The sequence below is a fragment of the Homo sapiens genome, chromosome 3, assembly GCF_000001405.40.
Source record: "Homo sapiens chromosome 3, GRCh38.p14 Primary Assembly".
Classification (NCBI taxonomy): Eukaryota; Metazoa; Chordata; class Mammalia; order Primates; family Hominidae; genus Homo; species Homo sapiens.
In genome coordinates, this window is record NC_000003.12 from 71,622,297 (window position 1) to 71,644,610 (window position 22,314).

The following is a 22,314-nucleotide window of genomic DNA, read 5'->3' on the forward strand; positions in this document are numbered from 1 at the left end:
GTGATGTACAGCAAAGGTTTAAACTGTTACAGTCATCACTCAGTCAATGTTTGTGAAGCTAGACTCATCCATCCCGGGAAACAAAAGATATTTCTGGACGATCTAGAAAAGGTGCTCACAGATCATTCCTGACTCTAAGGAATCTAGTCATATGAATATATGGGGAGCGATTTCTTTCCCCATGTTGTTTGCTTATTCTCTAAAAATGAAAAAAAGAGAACAACTCAAAATGCATATGAAATCGCAGAAAGTTGATAAAGCCTCAATATCCATCAACAGAGAGAGGGCTGGTTAAAAAATTGCAGGAAGTCCATACACTGGACCCTTATGTAGTCACTGAAAGGGCAGTTTTCTATGCATAAATGTGGACTAGTACCCAAGACATATTGATGGGTGAAAAAATACAAAGCAACGTTTGGTGGCTGTCATGGGTTGAATTGTGTAACCCAAAAAGATACGTTGGAGTCCTTACCCCTGGTACCTTGGAATGTGACCTTATTTGGAAATAACGTCTCTGCAGAAGTAGCCAAGCTATGAGGTCAGGCCCTCATCCACTGACTGGTGTCTTTATAAGATGAGGGCAAGTTGGACACTGACACCCAGGGAAAAGGCCATGTGAGGATGGAGGCAGAGATGGAGCCAGGCGGCCATAAGCCAAGTCGCTCCAAGGACTGCTGGCAATCCCTGGAAGCTGGAAGAGGAGGGACCAGGTTTCCCCTGAGAGCCTCCAGAAGAAACCAATCCTGCCAATGACTGTATTTTGGACTTCTAGCCTCCACAACTGAGAGAAAACCTGTTTCTGTTATTTTTAAGCCACCCAGTTTGGGGTAATTTGTTTTGACAGCCATGGGAAACTAACAGAGTAGCCTATCCTTTTGTGGAAATATCTATCTTTTAATACAGAGACCCTTCTGAAAGGATACCCAAGAAACTGAGAGCAAGCATGGCCTCTGGGAAAAAGAAGTTGCTGGCTGGGAGTGAGGAGAGGAACAGAGATTTATTCTTCACTGCATACTCTTTTGTACTTTTTGACTTTTGTATACATTTGCATACTATCTATTTTAAAAGCCAAACAGTATTGCAATTATTGTGATTTTCTTTCCAGGTGCAGAAATGACCTAAGAGCTTAATCTCTCCGAGCCTCAGACTTCACATTCAGAAAACAGGGGTAACTGACAGTAACTACCTCACACACAGTGCATCATGCACCCGGAACAGTACCTGACACAGAAAAGGTCTTGATGAGTGATCACATTGGCTACTGTTTTTATGGCTAATAGGAAATGAAGCTGCTTCAACAACAGCCAAAACCCAAACAAGGAGTCATGAGCAGAACCCTGGTGAGACGGCACTAAACTGTGGTGGCAGCTAAGAACGCTTGTGCCTCATCGATTGTATCATGTGCTACCCAAATTAGGTGCTACACAAAGGAGATACCTGTCAGCAGGGTTTCTGAACAGCAGCAGTGTTGACTGACATTTTGGGCTGGAAAATTCTATGTTGTACGGGGCAGTCTACTGTACACAGTAGGGTGGTTAACAGCACCCTTGGCCTCTACCTACTAGTTGCCAGTCATACCTATTCTCCAGGGGTGATGATAAAAAGTCTCCAGACGTTGCCATATGTCCCCTAGAAGGGCGAAACTGACCCCAACAACCACTGGTCTGCAGGTCAGTGGTTCCTAATATGTTTTCCCTAGAGCAGCAGCAGCAACATCACCCAGGAGCTTGTAAGAAAGAATCTGTGGCCAGGTGTGGTGGCTTCACACCTGTAATACCAGCACTTTGGGAGGCCAAGGTGGGCAGATCACTTGAGATCAGGAGTTCGAGACCAGCCTGGCCAACATGGTGAAACCCTGTCTCTACTAAAAATACAAAAGTTAGCCGAGCGTGGTGGTGTGTGCCTGTAGTCCCAGCTATTTGGGAGGCTGAGGTACGAGAATTGCTGGAACTCAGGTGGCAGAGGTTGCAGTGAGCTGAAATTGCATGACTGCACTCCACCCTGGGCGACAGAGTGAGATGCCATCTCAATAAAAAAAAAAAAAGGAAAGAAGGAAGGAAGGAAGGAAGGAAGGAAGGATTGATCTGATCCCTGCCTCGGACCTACTGAATCAGAGCCCGCACTTTAACGAGAGCCCCAAATTATTTGTATGCACGCTAACATCTGAGAAGTGCTGGTCTGAATCAATGTCTCTCCCTCTCCTCTCCTAAACATAAGAATGCCCAGGGCCAGGTGCAGTGGCTCACACCTGTAATCCCAATACTTTGGGAGGCTGAGGCGGGCGGATCACCTGAGATCAGGTGTTTGAGACCATCCTGACCAACATGGAGAAACCCTGTCTCTACTAAAAATACGAAATTAGCCGGGTGTGGTGGTGCATGCCTATAATCCCCACTACTTGGGAGGCTGAGGCAGGAGAATCACTTGAACTGGGGAGGCAGAGGCTGCAGTGAGCCGAGATGGTGCCATTGGACTCCAGCCTGGGCAGCAAGAGTGAAACTCCGTCTCAAAAAATAAAAGAATGCCCAGAGGCCGGGTGCAGTGGCTCACATCTGTAATCCCAGCACTTTAGGAGGCTGAGGCAGGCAGATCACGTAAGGCCAGAAGTTCAAGACCAGCCTGGGCAACATGGCAAAACCCTGTCTCTATTAAAAATACAAAAATTAGGCAGGCATGGTGGTGCATGCCTGTAGTCTCAACCACCCAGGAGCCTGAGCTGGGAGGATTGCTTGAGCCCAGGACGGGGAGGCTGGAGTGAGACAAGATCATGCCACTGTACTCTAGCCGGGGCAACAGAGTGAGACTCTGTCTCAAAAAAAGAATGCCTAGACATTTGGTTAAAAACACAGACTTTTGGGTCCCACCAAACCTGCTACAGTGATTCTCCAGGAAAGAGAGCTAGAAATTGATATTTGAAAATGATTCTTATGATCAGGAAGATTTGGGCCTCTTTATAGAGTTTCTTCAGGGGGATAAAATTTAGCAGTTACTTTTTAGCACTGACTGAAGAAAGAATGTCTTGGCTTAAGAACTTGTTTTCTGAACTATTCAACAAATCCTCCTTGAGCAATGGCTTAGGAACAAGGGGCCATAGAGACAAATTCCTTACCAGCATAGAGCATCCATCCTTCAGTGGACTGAATGGTAGAGAAGCAAAGTCTAGGTGATATTGTTTGAACTCCTGAGTCCAACTTTGCCAGAACCCATTTCTTCCCAGTCAAATGAGTAAATAATTTCCTTCTTTACTTAAATTTAAGTTTGATTTCTAATCATTGATCTCTGAGAGAGTCTCAACTAACACACTACTTTTTAAGGCCACTAGACTAATTTCCTTCCTATGACTATACTTACAAAGCAACTTCTAATCATAATGTGGCTTCACATGAAGCTCTGTCCCTAGGCAAACAATATAGAGTCCAGTGAGAATGAGAATATGGTGCCTTTTGTAGCTGCAGATAGCATTATAAATGAATTGCAGTCTGGCTTCATACATCAGTTTCTTGTGAGTTTGGTTCCCATGAGTCAGTGCCCAGATTTTAGTACCTCTGGGTATACTTAGTAACTGGAATATCCAAACCAGCTCCTAGAAGGAAGTGATGCTACACCCCACACCCCACTGTTTTCAGGCAGGACTTTTTTTAATACCAAAATTGTGAAACCCATCTGGTCTGAAGGTATCCTTCCAACATATGCAATAGAAAGCTAGTCCTTTCTTTTTTTCCTCTTATTTATAACTTCATTTGTTTATATCAGGCTTATCTTTTCTTGTTCCTTTTCCTCTATCTCCTATGACCTATACAATATCTACAATGTTTCATTTTCGCGGTCTCTTTCCTAAATCCTTATTTCTTTGTAAGATTTCACTTTAGGTTTCTTCCACAGGTCCCAAGTGCTCACACAAAATGGTGCATTGAGTCCCTTATCTTCCCCTTTAGTGCTGTATTAGTTTGTTCTCATGCTGCTAATAAAGACATAGTCAAGACTGGGTAATGTATAAAGGAAAGACGTTTAATTGACTCACAGTTCTACATGGCCAGGGAGGCCTTACAATCATGGTGGAAGGCAAGGAGGAGCAAATCCACGTCTTACATGGCAGCAGGCAAGAGAGAATGAGAGCCAAAGAAAGGGGAAACCCCTTATAAAATCATCAGATCTCATGAGACTTATTCACTAACACGAGAACAGTATGAGGGAAACCGCACCCAAGATTCAATTATCTCCCACCAGTCCCTCCCACAACACATGGGAATTATGGGAGCTACAATTCAAGATGAGATTTGGGTGGGGACACAGCCAAGCCGTATCAATTGCACTTTTTTCTACATACGACTTGCTGAACTAATACCATTTCTTTCCAAAATTCTCTGTTTTGCCAAATTAATTGCTGTCATTGACAACCCATAGTCTGAACACACTTATCTTGGTGTTTATTCCTGAATTCATGCACTCAACAGCCTGCCTGCTTCTCTCCAGCTTTGCATTCATTACATGGAACAACCACAGGTGTAGCACTCACATTCCATAATGGCTGGAACATAAACAGGTTCAAACTTTTTGGAGGGCAAACACAATGTGTATGAAAAGCCTTAACCCAAAAATAGCACATCTAGGGATTTGTCCTAAAAGAGCAGTAAGAAAGGTATGCAAAGCTGTCCAGTCAAAGATGCTTGCAATGTCATGTTGGCGAATTGCAAATAATCTCAAGGTCCAACTATAGAGGATTAATTTTTAAACTTATAGCACAGTAAATATCTATAATAATGCAAAGTCCTAAAACGCCATTGGTGATTGAACTCCTGTCCACAATCTTTCTTTCTTGTTTTTTTGTTTGTTTGTTGTTGTTGTTGTTTGTTTTGTTTTTTTTCTTTTTGTTTTTGAGACAGAGTCTCACTCTGTTGCCCAGGCTGGAATACAGTGGCATGATCTCTGCTCACTGCAAGCTCCGCCTCCTGGGTTCACACCATTCTCCTGCCTCAGCCTCCGAGTAGCTTGGACTACAAGCACCCACCACCACGCCCGGCTAATTTTTTTTTTTTTGTATTTTTAGTAGAGACGGGGTTTCACTGTGTTAGCCAGGAAGGTCTCAATCTCCTGACCTCGTGATCCGCCCACCTCGGCCTCCCAAAGTGCTGGGATTACAGGCGTGAGCCACTGCGCCCGGCCCGTTTTTGTTTTTGAGACAGTCTCTCTCTGTCACCCAGGCTGGAGTGCAGTGGTGCAATCTTGGCTCACTGCAACCTCCCTGCCTCCTGGATTCAAGCTATTCTCCTGCCTCAGCCTCCCGAGTAACTAGAATTACAGGCATGCACCACCACACCCAACTAATTTTTTGTATTTGCAGTAGAGACGGGGTTTCTCCATGTTGGCCAGAATGGTCTTGAACTCCAGACCTCCAGTGATTTGCCTGCCTCGGCCTTCCAAAGTGCTGGGATTACATGCGTGAGCCACCACGCCCGCCTCCTGTCCACAATCTAACTGTCAAACAAAGGTGAGCTAAAGTTCTTTCCCTGTATATTGAGGGTGAAGGTGGTTGCAGGGAGAAGGAAGGGTGAGGTCAGGTGGCAAAATATCTAAAGACCCTGTTTTGGGAAGGAGGGTGGCGGATCCCCACATCATCAGAACTCTCCTGACTCATCTTCCTAGATGGGCTAATTAAACGGATGCCAACTAATCGGAAAACTTCTGGAATTGCCGTCCCTGGAAATCCTAGCAAGACACAGGACCCAGAATCCTCCCCATTAATATTGACGCTGTAGTGACCAATCACCATTAAGAGGTGCCAGAAAGGAACTGGAACTGGCAAGTAGTCAGGTCTTTCAGCGGCACCCCCAGAAATCCTGTCCTATAAATGGTACTTCACTCTAATGCAAACTTTGCTAAATGTTTTAACCTTGTTGTGTAACGCGGGGGTAAAAAGAGTACTTGATAGGGTTAACACATATAATGCATTTAGAAGAGCAATTCGCAGGTGGTTAACATCTGTAACATTTGCTATTATTATTATTGGTAGTAAAAATTATCTAGCATCTGTAAACACTTGCTATTATTATTGATACTAAAAGTTATCCATGAGCTTTTTTTCTTCTTCTTCTTACTATGCAAAGTTGGGATTCTGAAGTGAACAGCTGCACGGTGTTATCATCTTTCTACACATTCACACATAACAATCTTAATGATATATCACAATGAATAATTTGACGTTATTTAGCTCTCCTTACTCTGAGCTGTGGACTGCATCAAACCCAACTCGAATAGCGTTCCTGCTCTTCAAATTTCGGCGGTGAAGCCATTCATAAATAAAAAACAGCTTCTTGTTTTGTATGAATCAATTCACAAGATAAATATTTAAATAAAATGTGGCTTCAATTGTGCTCTCTGATGATAATTGCTGGCTCACACTCTGTTTCTATATCAATGTGTTTTCTTTTATTTTTTCCCCCAAGCTGACTAATGAACAGAGCTGTCAGAAGCCCATTGCTCATGATCTAGCGAGCAACACATTAGCAGTTTCACATAAATATAAAAACCACATTCACTGCAGCTAGGGAAATATACACGTAGCACACAAAAACTCCAATATACTCCAGTGCTATCAACAAATAAAGAATCCTGGGTGATAAATATGATTAGCTAAGTAACTGACACTCTCTTAACACAGGAAACAGCCCTGCATCACCCCAGCTGTCAATAAATAAAAGATAATTCAAAGAACAAACTCCTTTGTGTATAGAGCATCCTCTACTTTGAAGAGCCCACAAAATTCTATATCTGACATTGTAAAGAAAAAAAGGCATACTTATGTAATTTGGGGATATTTACAATCCCTATGCTGCACAAAATCACAGGCTCTTAAATTTATACTCCACTCAAAGTGGGGAGAATCCAGGATGCTCTCTACCTTTAAGACTCAAAATTGTTTTAAATGTCATTTCATTCATATCCTTCATCTCTCCATGGGCTGTTCTGTTCCAATTTTACAGTTTATTCATTTCATAAAAATGTATCAAGTCATTACCATGCGACTAGCACCGCTGGGGAAGATGGAGTCCAGGAAGAAAACTTCCAGGCTCCTACAGTCATCAAAAGAGCCAGAAATGAGAGGTCACTGGCTCCCAAACCGCTGCACCCGCTAGAAGCACTGTAAACTCTCAAACAGCAGTTCTCTAAGATAAATATTTAAATAAAATGTGTTTTCAATTGTACTCTTCGATGATAATTACTGACTCACCCCCGTGATTGCAGCAATGTGTTTTTATCTCCTTGTCTCGTGCTGATTAAGGAACTTAAGATTCAGAAGATACAAAATTGTGAACCTCAGTGATAAAAGGGGAGATACAACTGTTCGAAGTCATTGATTCTCCATATTTCTCTACCTTTTGATAACTTCTCTCTCAACTCTTCAGCCATGCTGAGGGGGGGACAATAAGCAGAAATTGCAAGGCCTCCTCACATCACATGATGCTGGCAGGAGAAGGCTCAGTGCTGAATGCAAATGTCCTCTTGGGGGTGGGTCCCTTGGCAATTTCTGAAGTTCCCTATCTGGATTCTGCTGAAGAGGAAGCAGCCAGCCCCTGTTACTAGTTCTTTCTATTCTGCTGACACCAGTGACCTCAACCAAGTCAACGGCACCCTTGCTAGGGCTTGGAAATTTCAAGAATAGGAAAACAATAATGCAATAACTCAAGAAGGAAGCTAAACAGCGTTTCCCTAATTTCTTTTCTCTCTGACCCCTGGATTCTTATGTGGTAGATTAGATTATGGTTTAGAAACATTCACTTCCTACTCCCATTACCTCCATGATAGGAATGTACTTTCCCTTCTCTTGACTTTGAGTTTGGCCACATGACTTGCTTTGGCCAATGGAATGTTAATCTTTGTTTGGTCTTTGGGATGATAGGACCAAAGGCTGAAAAAGCATTTATGAGATTGGGCATGCTCTCTTGTGCTTCTGGCACTGACCTGAGAAAAAATTGCCCAGGCTAGCCCACTAGTCCCAGGAGGAGGATGAGGGACAAGTTGGGCAGAGTCACCTGGCCAAACCATTCAAACCAGTCCTGGCCTTGGTCATCTAACCCCTAGGCATCCTGCAGATGTGTGAGCTAAATAGATGCTTTTAAAATATGCCACTGAAATGCTGTTGCTGGTTGTCATGTGGCAATGGCTTATGACACAACTTACTTTGGACTAACCAATCCTGCTTTTCTTTGCTCCTTTTTTTTTTCCTTTGACACAGTGTCTTGCTCTGTTGCCCAAGCTGGTGTGCAGTGGTACAATCACGGCTCACTGCAGCCTCCTTCCTGGGCCCAAGCAATCCTACCTCAACCTCCCCAGTAGCTGGAACAACAGGTGTGCATCACCAGCCCAAGCTAATTTTTAAAAAAATTTTTGTAATTGCGGAGTTTTGCCATGTTGCCCAGACTAGTGTCAAACTCCTAGGCTCAAGCAATCCTCCTGCCTTGGCCTCCCAAAGTGCTGGGATTACAGGCATGAAGCACTTTGCTCCTTTCTTAAAGGAAGATATATTCCTTCTACTTTTCAGGGCATTTTAGGTAATTTGAAATATAGTAAAAAATATTTGTTTACTGGCTGAAGAGAAACCTCTGAACCCAAATTCTTGAAATTTCCCCAGCACTTTGGCCTGTCATTTCCCTCTTGAGATTTGTCGCTCCAAGATCAGCGTCCTCCACTCTCCCATCTATATCCCTAATCACTTCCCCTCAGCCTCTGGCACAGGCTCTTCGACCTGCCCTTCCTCATCCCTCTTCCCATTCACTCCATAAATATTACCAACTGCTGGAAAGATGAGAGGAAAATTAGAATGTGGCAGAGTCATGGAGAACAGGAAAAGGCTGCTTCAAGACATGAAATGCCCAACTGTGGCACACACTGCCATGTGGCTCAGCAAACAAAGGCCATCTCATCCAACCCCATGGCTACAGCGCACCTTCATCTGCCAGTGATTGTCAAATACACCTCCTCTCTACTCCTTTGCAGCCACCTCCTCTCTCCTAAGCTCTGTACCCGTATTTGCAACTGCCTGTTGGACATATTCACCTGGATATCCTGCAGGTGAGCCTGCAGGGGATACTCAAGATCCCCAAGCCTGATTCATTCATCCCCAACCTGCCATCTGGATGCCCCTTTTCTGTGGGCCTTGCTTTGGTTATGGACATGGGCAGTTGATGCTGGTGGTGTCTTGTCTATATTTCCTTGGGCCTTACCGTTATAGCATTCTGCAGACGTCCAGCTACCTGCAGCCTTACTGTGAGAGTTCAACCCAGTCTACCCCATGGGCCAGAAGCACAGGAGAATTAACTCCCCTCAAGCCACAACCCTTAACTAATGACTATAAAAGATTTGATAGGCTGGATGTGGTGGCTCACGCCTATAATCCCAATACTTTGGGAGGCTGAAGTGGGAAGATTGCTTCAGCCCAGGAGTTCAAGACCAGCCTGGGCCACATGGCAATAACCCATTTCTACAACAAAATGAAAAATCAGCCAGGCATGGTAGCACATGCCTGTAGTCCCAGCTACTCAGGAGGCTTAGGTGGGAGGATCACTTGAGCCTGGGAGGTTGATGCTGCAGTGAGCCGTGATTGTGCCATTGCACTCCAGCCTGGGCAACAGAGTGAGACTCCATCTCAAAAAGAAAAAAAAAAGAAAGAAAGAAAGATTTGGTAGATATGTACTGCAGCTCCCCCAGCCCCCAGGGGACAGGGGCATCACGAGGGTCGGGGGGAGTCATTCTGAAGCACACATTCTATTCTGCTGCCCAGGGTTCCTAAGTGGTCTTCCCAGTTATCCACAAGGTAGCAAGCTTGATAATTCATTGACTTCCCTAGCCTTACTCACTTTTCCACTACTCTACCACTGTTTCCTGGTGTCACTTCCCAAATGCAGGCATCCTTCTACCAGGGTCTGCTTAAGTGGGACAAAATGACGAAGTTAGAAATCGCTGACTCCCTCTCTTTCACCGCCCATGTCTATTTGATTACACAAACACACACACACACACACACACACACACACGTACCTTATTCATTCATTCAGCAATATTACCAAGAACCTAGATATTTTAGATGCTAGGGAAGCAGAAGTGAACAAGATAGGCCTGGTCCCAACCCTCAAGAAGCTTATACTCTAAAGGGGAAAGGTAGACAAATACATCAACAGTATCATAACCTGTAGAGACGAGTTTTACGAGAGAAATAAACAGGGTGATGAGATAAAGAAATTGAGAAAGGCCATTTTAGGTAAAGTGGTCAGGAAAGGACTCTGAGGAGGTGACATCTGAGCTGGAACCTGGAGAATAAGCCAAACACATGAGGATTTGAGGGGGGAGGAAGAGTGCTCCAGGCAGAAAGAACAGCACAGGCAAAGGCCTGCTTGTACATCCAAGGATGGGAAAGGAGATCAGAGTGGGTGAAGCAGAGAGGACAATGAAGAGGGTGGTATAAGATAAAGGAGAAAGATGTGCAAAGGCCGGGCCACGGAAAGCTGTCTGGGCTAGGATCAGGGGCTTGGATTTTATTCTAAGAACCATGAGAAGCCACTGAAAGTATCTAAATAAGGGTGTAACATGATGTGCTTTGGATTTGTTAAAATCACTCTGACTATGGTATGAAGTCAATTTTGGAGGCTGCAAGAGTGGAAGCCTACAGGTTCCTGTAATCTGTCCCACTATCCACTCAGTGATGGTTCTGACTCTCATCACGGCCTGACCATACAGGAGGGTCTCCAGCTCTGCCTTTGAAGATATGCACACTGCAGGCATAACACAAGAAATAGAACCTGTGCCCTTACAGAGCTTTAGAATGAATCCCAGATACAGCAAAGTACTGATACTTTAGGTAATGATAAAATGGTGCATTGATGGTGGAGGGTGATAGACACAGAGTGGAGAGATAGGGAACTCAGACCCAGTGAGCCTCAGGGAGGACTCTCTAAGGCAGAAACATCTAAGCTGAGGCCTGAGGCAGGAGGTGGGACTAGCCAGGGTTTTGTTTTTTGTTTTGTTTTTGAGACAGAGTCTTGTTCCATCGCCCAGGCTGGAGTGCAGTGGTGCAATCTTGGCTCACTGCAACCTCCTCCATCTCCTGGGTTCAAGCAATTCTCCTGCCTCAGCCCCTCAAGTAGCTGGGATTACAGGCGCTCACCACCATGCCCAGCTAATTTGTGTATTTTTAGTAGAGACAGGATTTCGCCATGTTGGACAGGCTTGTCTCAAACTTCTGACCTCAGGTAATCCACCCTCCTTGGCCTCTCAAAGTGTTGGGATTATGGGTGTGAGCCACCACGCTGGCCTAGCCAGGTTTATAAGTTCATGTGCAAAGGCCAATGGGGAAAGCGCATGATGTGTGTGGTGGAGTGGAGGGCGTGGGGACTGAAATGCTGGATCTCTCCAAAGCATAGAGGATGAGAAGGGAGGTGATGACCAATGACCCTTAAGTGGTCTATTAATGCTTAGTGAATGAATAAGTAAGTGGCAAGACACACAAGCTAAGAGTAAGAGAATTTCATTCTAACTTTTCTAGTTCTTTAATTGCCATTCAAGAGCTTAAACCATACGGCAGATGACAACCTGATACATGAGTCAAAGTCAGCTCAGGAAACATTTAACAGGGTTCCTGACATAAAATGCCTAAAATATACAGAATTTTGAAAGTTATGACAACTGAGGTAATAATGAAGTAACGTTAAGGGCTGAGTATATTAATTTTAAAAAAGAAAAAGGGGTTTTATGGGCCTGGTCTGGTGTGTTAAGTTTGTTGTCGACTTTTCTTTTTTTAAGAATAAGGGTCTCGCTTGTTCTGTTGCCCAGGCAGGAGTGCAGTGGCCAGTCATAGCTCACTGCAGCCTCAAATTCCCAGGCTCAAGCAACCGTCCTGCCTCAGCCTCCCAAGTAGTTGAGATTACAGGCATGTGCCATCATGCCCAGCTAATTAAAAAAAAATTTTTTTTAGAGACAGGGTCTTGCTATGTTGCCAAGGCTGGACTTGAACTCCTGGACTCAAGTAATCCTCCTGCTCCACCATCCGAAAGCGTTAGGATTACAGGCATGAGCCACCATTCCCAGGCTCTATTTTTTTTTTCTTTTTGGCTTGGTGATGAGGTTTTGGTCAATTTACTGAGTACCTACTGCATGCCAAGCATGTATTAATTAAACATCGCGGGTGAAGAGATCTGTAGACGTGGTTATTGTCCTAGAGGAATTCATGAAGTTGACTGACATATGTATGACCATCAAAGACTGTGCTTTCACACTTGAATTACTATGATAAAAAATGAGGCATAAATGAAGTGGATTTGTTTTGTGGCTTAAGCATAGGAATTTGTTTTCTGCACACAGTCTCAGTCTCTCACTCTCTCTCTCTCTCTCTCTCTCTCTCTCTCTCTCTCTCATATATAAATATATAGATAGATGGATAGATCTGGAGTATGGGCCTAATTGCTATTTTTGGGCAACAGAAAGTGGGAGATCCTGCACCCTACAGTGAGTTTCCACTTTCCACTGCTGATTTATATTTTTTATCTGTAACCTCCCTGTCCAAGGTACAGAGATTCTTATTCTCTGTACCTTTGCTCTCAGTACATGAGGCATATGTGGTTACAGAGCCCTTAAAATGTGACTAGTCTGAATTGAGATATGCTGTAAGTATAAAATACATACACAGTTTCAAAGACCTACTATACAAAAACATTTCATTAATTTTTTTTATATTGATTGCATGTTGAAATGATAATATGTTGAATACATTGGGGTAAATGAAATGTATTATTAAAATTAATTTCATCTGTTTCTTTTTAGTTTTTAAAATATGGCTATTAAGAAAATGTAAAATTATTATGGGGTTTCCATTTATGGCTTTTATGATACAGTCAGCTCTACTATAATGCTTATTTTGAAAATGGAAATTTGTTCCAACATGACCGACATATTGAGAATATGATTTGAATATAACATAAATATTGTGTTTGCTTACATCTGCAAGAAACGCTAGGTGAACACTTCAGAAAACTACACCTGCCTGAACCGAGCTGTGTGGAAATACACAAAATGCTAACACACCTCAAAATCCACCAGCTACCTCAGTTTACTATACATGTTCAACAGCACACCTGCCTACATCTGGGGCTGCAACTTTTCACCCAGTTTAGGATAGCCCTCCTCCCACTGCTTCCCAATCACTCGTAAGCAGCAACCCTTCCGAGGCCACTTCCACAGGCAAAGCCAAGGTCTTTCACAAGGTAAACTGCCATATTTATTGTAGTATTTATGTATTTCTTAGCCATTTAAAATATGTAAAACCAGGCTACTCTTTTTACTAGGCTCCTGTCTTTTTTTATTATGGGTCGCTGACAAGGTTTCTGAATATTATGTCCCTAACCCCACTCCCTTCATAAGCCCTGTAGTTTTTGTTGTGAGATTTTGCATATCATGGTATTTTTCAGAAATGCCTCTGGCTGTATTTCTACTAGATAGGGCTGAGCTACAGAACTTCAGTTCCCAAAGCACATTCTGGCATCTCAATAATACTTTTCAGCCACCTGCTTAATAGAAGCCTAGATCTTTCTTTAAAATAATTTTTTAAAGCTGTATTTCTACAGAACTGTAGGGCCACACACCATATAATCTATATTTATATGGCTAGTGATGACTTTGATTTAATAACGTTCCTGCTAACATTGCTGTAAACCTGAAAACAACTGTTATACGTTTATGAGCAATGCTGAGGGGAATGAAATAAATAAGCGGTCTTGCTGCTTTGAGGAAAACATGCTTCGTTTATGAATAAGATGGACGGCATGACGCTTTAGGAGCGGTCTTCCTTCAAATCCCGGGGCCACAATTACTATGACATCACTGGAGAAGTACTGGAGCCTGGGATTCCTGCCTCTGAGATGATGACGCTTTATTATTTTTCTTTTTTTTTTTCTGAAGCCAGGCATCATCCTAGCACTGTCAGAATGGACCCTGGGGGCTTCATTGGAAAACCCATGTAGAATATGGACTCACTTAAACACAGACACTTCCTTAAAAGCTTTTGGTTCGATGTGAATGTAAGTCATTTTGATTACTCAATTTCTATATTTATTAGGAATGATAAACCAAAGTACTTGAAAATAATTTCAGTGGCAATGAACTGTGGCACTCGATCGATGGGGGACACGGCAGTCAATTACCCTTTCACTTTATTTTGGTCCTTGGCAATCAGTTGGGATCAATACTCTCAATCTCGATTGATAGCAGAGTGCAAATCACAAATAATTTTTGTAAGTGGCCTGTCACCGTGTGTGCAGGCAGCTACAACAGGTCCTGAGCCGTCCCCTGCACTTCCACGTGGGTAATCAGGACCAGGTATGGCTGTCGCAGTAAAAGCACCTGTCATTTCAGCATGAGTAGCTGCCGACGGCCTCTTCAGCCTGAGCGGATGTTTAGCATCACGGCTGCATCTCCTTACAGCCTAGTCTGTCATATTCAAATTTTAGCTGCCTGAAATCATCTCAAGTCGGAAACTTGGTAAAATCAATTAACTGAGCAAAAGGAAGGAACTGGAAGGCAAATCATGCAAAACTCAACAAGGAAAAAGAAGGGAAGAATTATAACCTGGGGATTAATACACATACATTCCAAATACGCTTTTTTTTTTTTTTTTTTTTTTTGAGACGGAATCTCACTCTGTCGCCCAGGCTGGAGTGCAGTGGCGCAATCTCGGCTCCCCGAAACCTCTGCCCCCTGGGTTCAAGTGATTCTCCTGCCTCAGCCTCCTGAGTAGCTGGGATTACAGGTTCCCACCACCATGCCTGGCTAATTTTTGTGTTTTTAGTAGAGATGGGGTTTCACCATGATGGCCAGGCTGGTCTTGAACTCCTGACCTCAAATGATCCTCCCACCTCAGCCTCCCAAAGTGCTGGGATTACAGGCATGAGCCACCACACCCGGCCCTAAATGTGCTTTAAAAAGGGAAAGGAGGAGAGCTTTTCCTAAAGGGGCAGCCCCTGGAGGAAGGCTTATCTAACTCATCCCCTCACATCTTCTTTAGGGTAGCAGAAAGACCCCTGAGTTGCAAGTGAGATCCCTTCAGCTCTGCCATGCAGAAGCTGAGTGACCCAAGATAAAAACATGCCACCACTTCCCCTCTAGAAGGTAAAGTAAACTTTCATGAAATTATCAGGTTGGATTAGGTTGATGGTTTGCAAACTGTGTTCCCTGGGGTACTTTGCACTTCACAGAAAGGAGAAAGAGGGGGAGGAGGGGGAAAAGGGAGAAGGAAGGAAGGAAGGATGGGAGGGAGAGAGGGAGGGAGAAAAAGAAGGATGTAGGAAAGAGTTGAGAGGAAAGCCAAAATACTCCTCACTCCATATAAACAAGAGCTGCTCTGTTTATTTTTGTTTGGTCATATGGCTTTATGTAAGATTTTGTTAGAAGGGGCAGCCTAATTAGCGTCTGAGATCCTGAAAGACTAGAAACAGTTTGCCTGGGTATATATCCCAGCTTCCTCTTTCTAGCTGGGTGACCCTGGACAAGTGACCTAACCGCTCTGTGCCTCAGTTTCCACACATGAGATATTGCCATAACCTACTCTAATGAGGTGGTTATGAAGACTAAATACATTCATATTTGCAGTATACCTGGAGCAGTGCCTGGCATGTAGCAAGCACTATAGAAAGGTTTATTAAGTAAATAGAGCTGTGCGCTGCCTTTGAAAAAGTTTTATAACTACAGCTCTAAATTAGGAGTCCCTAAACTATTTTGACCTCATGTTTTTGTTGGAAAAGAAATTCTGAACATACAATTCCCATGTGTGTACACTTGTACACATACACATCCTATTGTTCTCATGTATTTTGTATTTGGAGGCATGCAAACAATTCTGGGATGGGCATAAAGTGGGGACATGAATAGTGAGTGAAATGAGACCTATTGCCTGGATTCTCCTCCAATGGTCTGGGTTCAGAATGCTTTGCACTTGAAGCTTGTCTCAGGCCTCCAGAGAAAGTAGTTGGGTGAGTCCTGATTGAGCACACTTTGCAAAGTCATGGCAAAAATCTACTCACTTGTCTTCATTTCCATTCAAGATGGGATGCTCTGAGCATTCCCAAGCATGAAGTGAGCACCTTCTGTGTGCCTTGGAGGCAGAAAAAAAAAAAAAAAACAACAACGCAAGATGAGTTATCTGGTCCTACACAACAGGTGAGCCATGTTATGAACTACAAATACTAAAAACCCTGGCCACACACCCTACACTTGAGGATCTCTCACAGAAGGTCCATTCTAGCGTGTAAAAGAGAAGACTCTCATGAAGACAGGAATCGTCTTTTACGTTAGTATTCTAAGATTCAAAGCAATCTCTGGAATATCCAGGCTGGGAGTCCAGGTCCTTGTAGTCTGTGTGCAAGAGCATTTCCAAAAAGACCATGCTCAGTCGTAAAGAGCCATGGACATGCCATAGGACTCCCATATTTGGACCTTCTTGTTCTGGGCAGGTTTACCACTCATCCCTGTGGCCCATTTGGGATGCATGAATTTTCCAGACTTAATATGAGATCAGAGAAACCCTATTAGAAGCCTGCCACCTGCTATATGGAAGGAAAGACAGAATCCAGGAACTATTAAGAAAGCATCACATAGACATGAAACATTTCATTTATACCATGATAAATGTCCAAGTCACTCTCCTCTATGGATGTTCTTAAGAGGTACTGTTTCTCTCCAGAAGTAGCCTCCAGAGCTGATCATATGTATGTTATTGCAGTAGAACCATTCTGAGCTATCTGCTCAGCTGCCACCAACCTGTAAGTGCCCACCTCATACACAGAGTGATGGTCGGGCAGCTATGTTGTTTCTACAGCTCTAACGTGCATACTCATGACCTGAGGATCTTGTGAAAATGGAGATTCTGATTCAGTAGGTCAGGGGGTGGCCTGAGAGTCAGTATTTCCAACAAACTCCCAGATGAGATGCTATCGCTGGTCCAGGGACCAGTTTGAGTGACCAAGTTGTTCATAACTCCACATCCTGGCCCCAGTTGATTGGACTCGGAGTAACTACCTGCAAACTGAACCAATCAGCCTCACTCCCTGAATTTAGAATTGGGTCAAAGAGGTTCTTTTCCTGCCAGGATGGTCTCTCAAATGTAGAGAGATGTAAAAACTCAGGAGCTGTGGGGGTGACCATGTTCTGCTATGTGGATTGAGAAAACAGGAAACCAGGAGGCAGAGAGGAAAAGCTGGGAAGGCGTGAGAGATAAATGACACACAAGGGAACTGCTTGGGCCCCAGCTTTTAATTCCTAGGTCCAGATCTTGCATTTCTGTCACTTGGGCTCCACAGGACACCACTTTATCATTATAATAATTTTCTCTTTTTTATTTTATTTTATCTTAGAGACAGAGTCTCGCTCTGTGGCCCAGGCTGAAGTGCAATGGGGTGATCATAGCTCAGTGCAGTCTTGAACTCCTGGGCTCAAAGGAGATCCTCCTGCCTCAGCTGAGTAGCTGGGAATCAGTGCATGCCGCCATGCCCAGCTAATGTTTTTAAACATTTTTGTAGAGATGGGGTCTTGCTATGTGGCCCGGGCTGGTCTTGAACTCCTGGGTTCAAGCCTTCACCCTCCTCGGCCTCCCAAAGTCCTGTGAGCACATGAATAAGCCACTGTGCCCAGGCTTTTTCACTTTTTTACTTAAGCTTGTTGTAAAGTGCCTTCTGTTACTTGCAACCACAGGGTCCTAACTATACAATTTTATAGACTATAAACTGTTACTGAGGATAAATCCTGGTTCTTTTAATCTCAGACTTCAGCAAGAGCACATCAGAGTTGCTTGTTAGATAATTGATGATTGAATGAATGAACGTGATGCCTCAGGCGTGATGTTCTCTACAGCTTCCCTGTGCCCAGATTTAGAGAAACTCTTTTAATTCCTGTCTCACTGTCAATCCTAGAAATCCAATCGTGAACACAACACATTGACTGCTGATTTTTCTATTTATGCCTTCTATCCCCTCGACACTCTAATTTCATTCTTCATATCTGGCAAGGGAAAAAGGGACTTGGGGAAGGTGTATTTCCCCTTTAAATACCATGAAAGTTATGAATATATCTCTCCAAAACTGCCAAAATAATTGTTTCATTTACAGAACTGAAATTCTCCAGGGAGCGTCCCAGCGATGTTCGAAACTGCTAACATCAGATATGCAGAAAACAAATATGGAGTGAACCATATGCTCCCAATCCTGAATTTAGCATCTCAGTGCAACAAAAACTTACATTTCAATCACTTTCCATCAGTTTTGTGTTATGAGTATGCACAGGGTTAAGGCTGGATGGAAGCCACCGGCCTGGAACCTTCTGTGGAGAAGGGCTCTGTCTGCACAGCCTGGGGCTCCAGCACAAGTTGCCATTTGGAGAGTTCACTTTAAATTAACACGTATAGGCTGCAGATCCCCAGTCAAAGGGGAAACCTGAGAAGGCACTGGCTATGTGATTGCAGAAGGGGAAGTTGCCAAATTTCTCCCTCTTCTTTTTTATTACTACTCAAAAAGTCCTGTTGCTTGCGGGGGGATTGGGGTATGGCCAGGAGTTTCCATTATGAAAACAATATGTAAGAAGGACTCGCAGAGCCGCAGCTTGGCGTGATGATGATGATGATGGTAGCAAATATTTACAGATTCTAGGTTCTCCACACTATTCTTAGCACCTTACATATGTTTTAACTCATTTAATCTTCCAAAATAATCCTATCATTCATGTATCATTGTTATCCCCATTTTACAGATGAGGAAGCTAAGGCTCAGAAAGATGGAGTAACATACTAATTAGGTGTAGTGGAACAGCTATTGCTTTTTCCTGCCAGCAGCCATTGCCCCTCTTCTGCTAATAGTGACTCAATTTTCCTTTGGAGAACCAACCCCACCCTTACCCTCTGCACATTGTTCACATTGTTTTTTGATTGTTTGTTTTGTTTTTTGAGACAGGGTCTCACTCTGTCGCCCAGGCTGGAGGGCAGTGGTGCTATCTCAGCTCACTGCAACCTCTGCCTCCTGGGTTCAAGCAATTATCCCACCCCAGCCTCCCAAGTACCTGGGATTACAGGCATGCAACACTATGCCCGGCTAATTTTTCTATTTTTAGTAGAGACAGGGGTTTCACCATGTTGGCCAGGCTGGTCTCAAACTCCTGACCTCAAGTGATCCACCTGCCTTGGCCTCCCAAAGTGCTGGGATTACAGGAGTGAGCCACTGCGCCCGGCCTCTGCACATTGTTTTGATGAGACAACGATCCCAATTTATACTCTAGGGCCAAAAGGTCCTATCTAATTCAGTCATTGTTGGACTGTTAGGTACCACAAACAGGCACTGGTCTTTTTCATCCCAGACTCTAGCACTGGGCACAATTTAGGTACCCAGTAAATATCTGAAGGGCAAACAAATGAAGGTAGCATACCAGGTGTAATATATTGGTGTGAATATTTCCTGCAATGGCTGTGCGCTTAAGAGGTGTCCTGATTGGTTGATTCTGGGTCACATGTTTACCCTAGACCAATCAGGAGCTGTCCTAGTATGTGAATGAAATGACACACGGATAGAAGCTTTCTTGAGCTGAGTCATCCTGACCCTTGTGCCCTAGTGAGGTTGTCGTATCTATCTTGGACCTCACTCTGGCTGCTGTGCTTTCCAGGTCCAATGTTCGGCTTTTCCTTCTGTTCTCTGAAATATCCCTTAGCTCACACAAAATTCCCTTTTTGCTTAACTGAGTCAGAGTTGGTTTCTATTACTTGCGACTGAATTGCCCTGCATTCTAGCTGTAATATTTGTACCGTTCATGACATGGCTAGACCCAGAAAATTTAACTACAGGGGCACATGGCAGGGCTGAAGGCCCAGGACCTGGGTAAAGCCACTGGCATGGTTTACTCATTTATTCAACAAACATCATTCACTGAGTGCCTCCATGAGCCTGGAACTGAACTAGGCCTCTTCTCTAGCTTTTTCCTTTCAATCATCACAATACAATGACATAGATATTATCATGCCCACTTTTCAGTGAGGAAACTGAGGCTCGAACACAAACATAGTGAGTGAAATAGCCAGTACTAGAATCATGTCTTCTTGAGACCAAAGCAAGTGCTCATACCATGATACTGCACAGTCTGAGGGAATGGGAGCTGGGCTCACTGGCAGGGCTGAGAAATCCAGTTGCTAGGTCTTGGGCAAAAGGGCAGCGAAGAAGTGAATGGAGGCTGAATTCTGTGCAGGTTAAACTAGTTCGAAGGATGGGGACCTTAGACCAAGTAAGTTATTATACACTGAATTATTCAATGACATTTTCTTCCCTTCCCTCCCTCCCTCCCTCCCTTCCTTCCTTCCCTTCCCTTCCCTTCTGAGACAAGGTCTCTCTCTGTCACCCAGGCTGGAGTGCAGTGGCACAATCATGGCTCACTGCAGCTTCGACCCCCTAGGCTCAGGTGATCCTTCCACCTCAGCCTCCTGGGTAGCTGGGATGACAGGCACATGCCACCAGGCCCGGCTAATTTTTTAATATTTTTTAGAGATGGGGTTTTGCCATGTTGCCTGGGCTGGTCTCAAGCTCCTGGGCTCAAGCGATCTGCCAGCCTTGGCCTCCCAAAGTGTTGGGATTACAAGTGTGAGCCACCATACCCAGCCTCAGTGACTTTTTCACTTAAATAGAATACTGTCTCATTTAAGCAGAAATCTTGTCGGAGGCAATAAGGGCCCTAGGAATTTGCTGAGTCTCCCAAATCTCCCTTACCTCCATGCTCCAAGTACTCCAAATCTCCTACCATCATGGTCCAACATGCATATACAATCTCTTCTGTAAGAATCTGCTCACGATAGACTTAAAACTCATTACAACTCATTAAGGATAGTTGAAAAAATTTAAGTTGAAGAGCAATAAATGACATCGCACAGCCAAATAGAATCTTCTTTCCTTGATAGAGTGAACAGTGGATGTTTTCGCCCTCGCCACATCCATTTCACCTTCTTTTGATTTCCCTTTGAGTAAACCTGGCACTTGCTCCACGGGGGGCTTAGTGGGGCTGACCTTAATTCCTCCTCTCTCCTTAGGTGCAGGATGGGCATGTGATTTGGATCTGCCAAACAAATGACTTCTATCCCCCGAGCTACACCATTTGGTTCATCTGCTGGTCTTATGTGACTCAGTCCTGGAAATTTTGCTGGGCTACTGATAAAAAGAAACTCTCCTTTCCCTGAGATTATCATCAGCTACAACAGCTATAAGGAAGACACAATCCTAGAGCTGCCCAGGAACAAAGCCAACACAGGAGGTGGCAGAGTTGCTGAGAAGTAGAGAGGAGAATGAACACTCATTGCATCCTTTGAGTGACCGAATACAGTCATACCTAAAGTCCATGCCTTGAATTTGGTAGTTTCAAAGAAAGCCAGAAGTTTCCTTCTATTCTTATGCAAGCTGAGTTGGGTCTCTGAATCTCACACTCAAAAGAGCTCATAGTAATACCATAAATTCAACCACATGTTTTGGAATTGCATTGACCTAGCCCGACTTGCTCCTGTATTTTCCCAAATCTTACTCAAGTGGCCTAAGATTTACTAATCTGAATGGATGGAACTGGAGATCATTATGTTAAGTGAAATAAGTCAGGCACAGAAAGACAAACATCGCATGTTCTCACTTATTTGTGGGATCTAAAAATCAAAACAATCGAATTCATGGACATAGAGAATAGAAGTATGGTTACCGGAGACTGGGAAGGATAGTGGGGCATGGGAGGGCGGGGAAGATAGGGATGGTTAATGAGTACAGAAAAATAGAATGAATAAAACTTACTGCTTGACAGCACAATAGGGTGACTATGGTCAAAAATAACTATACATTTAAAAATAAAGGGTGTTATTGAATTGTTTGTAACTCACAGGATAAATGCTTGAGGTGACAGATACCCCATTCTCCATGATGTGCTTATTTCACATTGCATGCCTATATCAAAACTTCTCATTTACCACATAAATTATATATATCTACTATGTACCCCCCCAAAAAAAATGTAAAAATTAAAAAAATAGGTTGGGCATGGTAGCTCCTCACTCCTGTAATCCCAGCACTTTGGGAGGCTGAGGCAGGCAGATCACTTGAGGTCAGGAGTTCGACACCAGCCCGGCCAACATGGTGAAACCCTGTCTCTACTAAAAAATATAAAAATTAGCCAGGCATGGTGGTGCACACCTTTAGCCCCAGCTACTTGGGAGGCTGAGGCACAAGAATCACTTGAACCTCAAGTTGCAGGGAGCCAAGATCACACCACTATACTTCA

The 22,314-nt window shown here is 43.8% G+C and overlaps 1 long non-coding RNA gene across 1 annotated transcript; it reads left to right on the forward strand.

The window, feature by feature from the left end:
• The first annotated feature begins 5,341 nt into the window (after window positions 1-5,341).
• LOC105377155 (uncharacterized) lies at window positions 5,342-7,202 on the forward strand. Its single transcript, XR_940950.3, has 2 exons — window positions 5,342-5,488; window positions 5,644-7,202. It is a non-coding gene; the product is annotated as an uncharacterized LOC105377155 (long non-coding RNA).
• The last annotated feature ends 15,112 nt before the right edge of the window (window positions 7,203-22,314 follow it).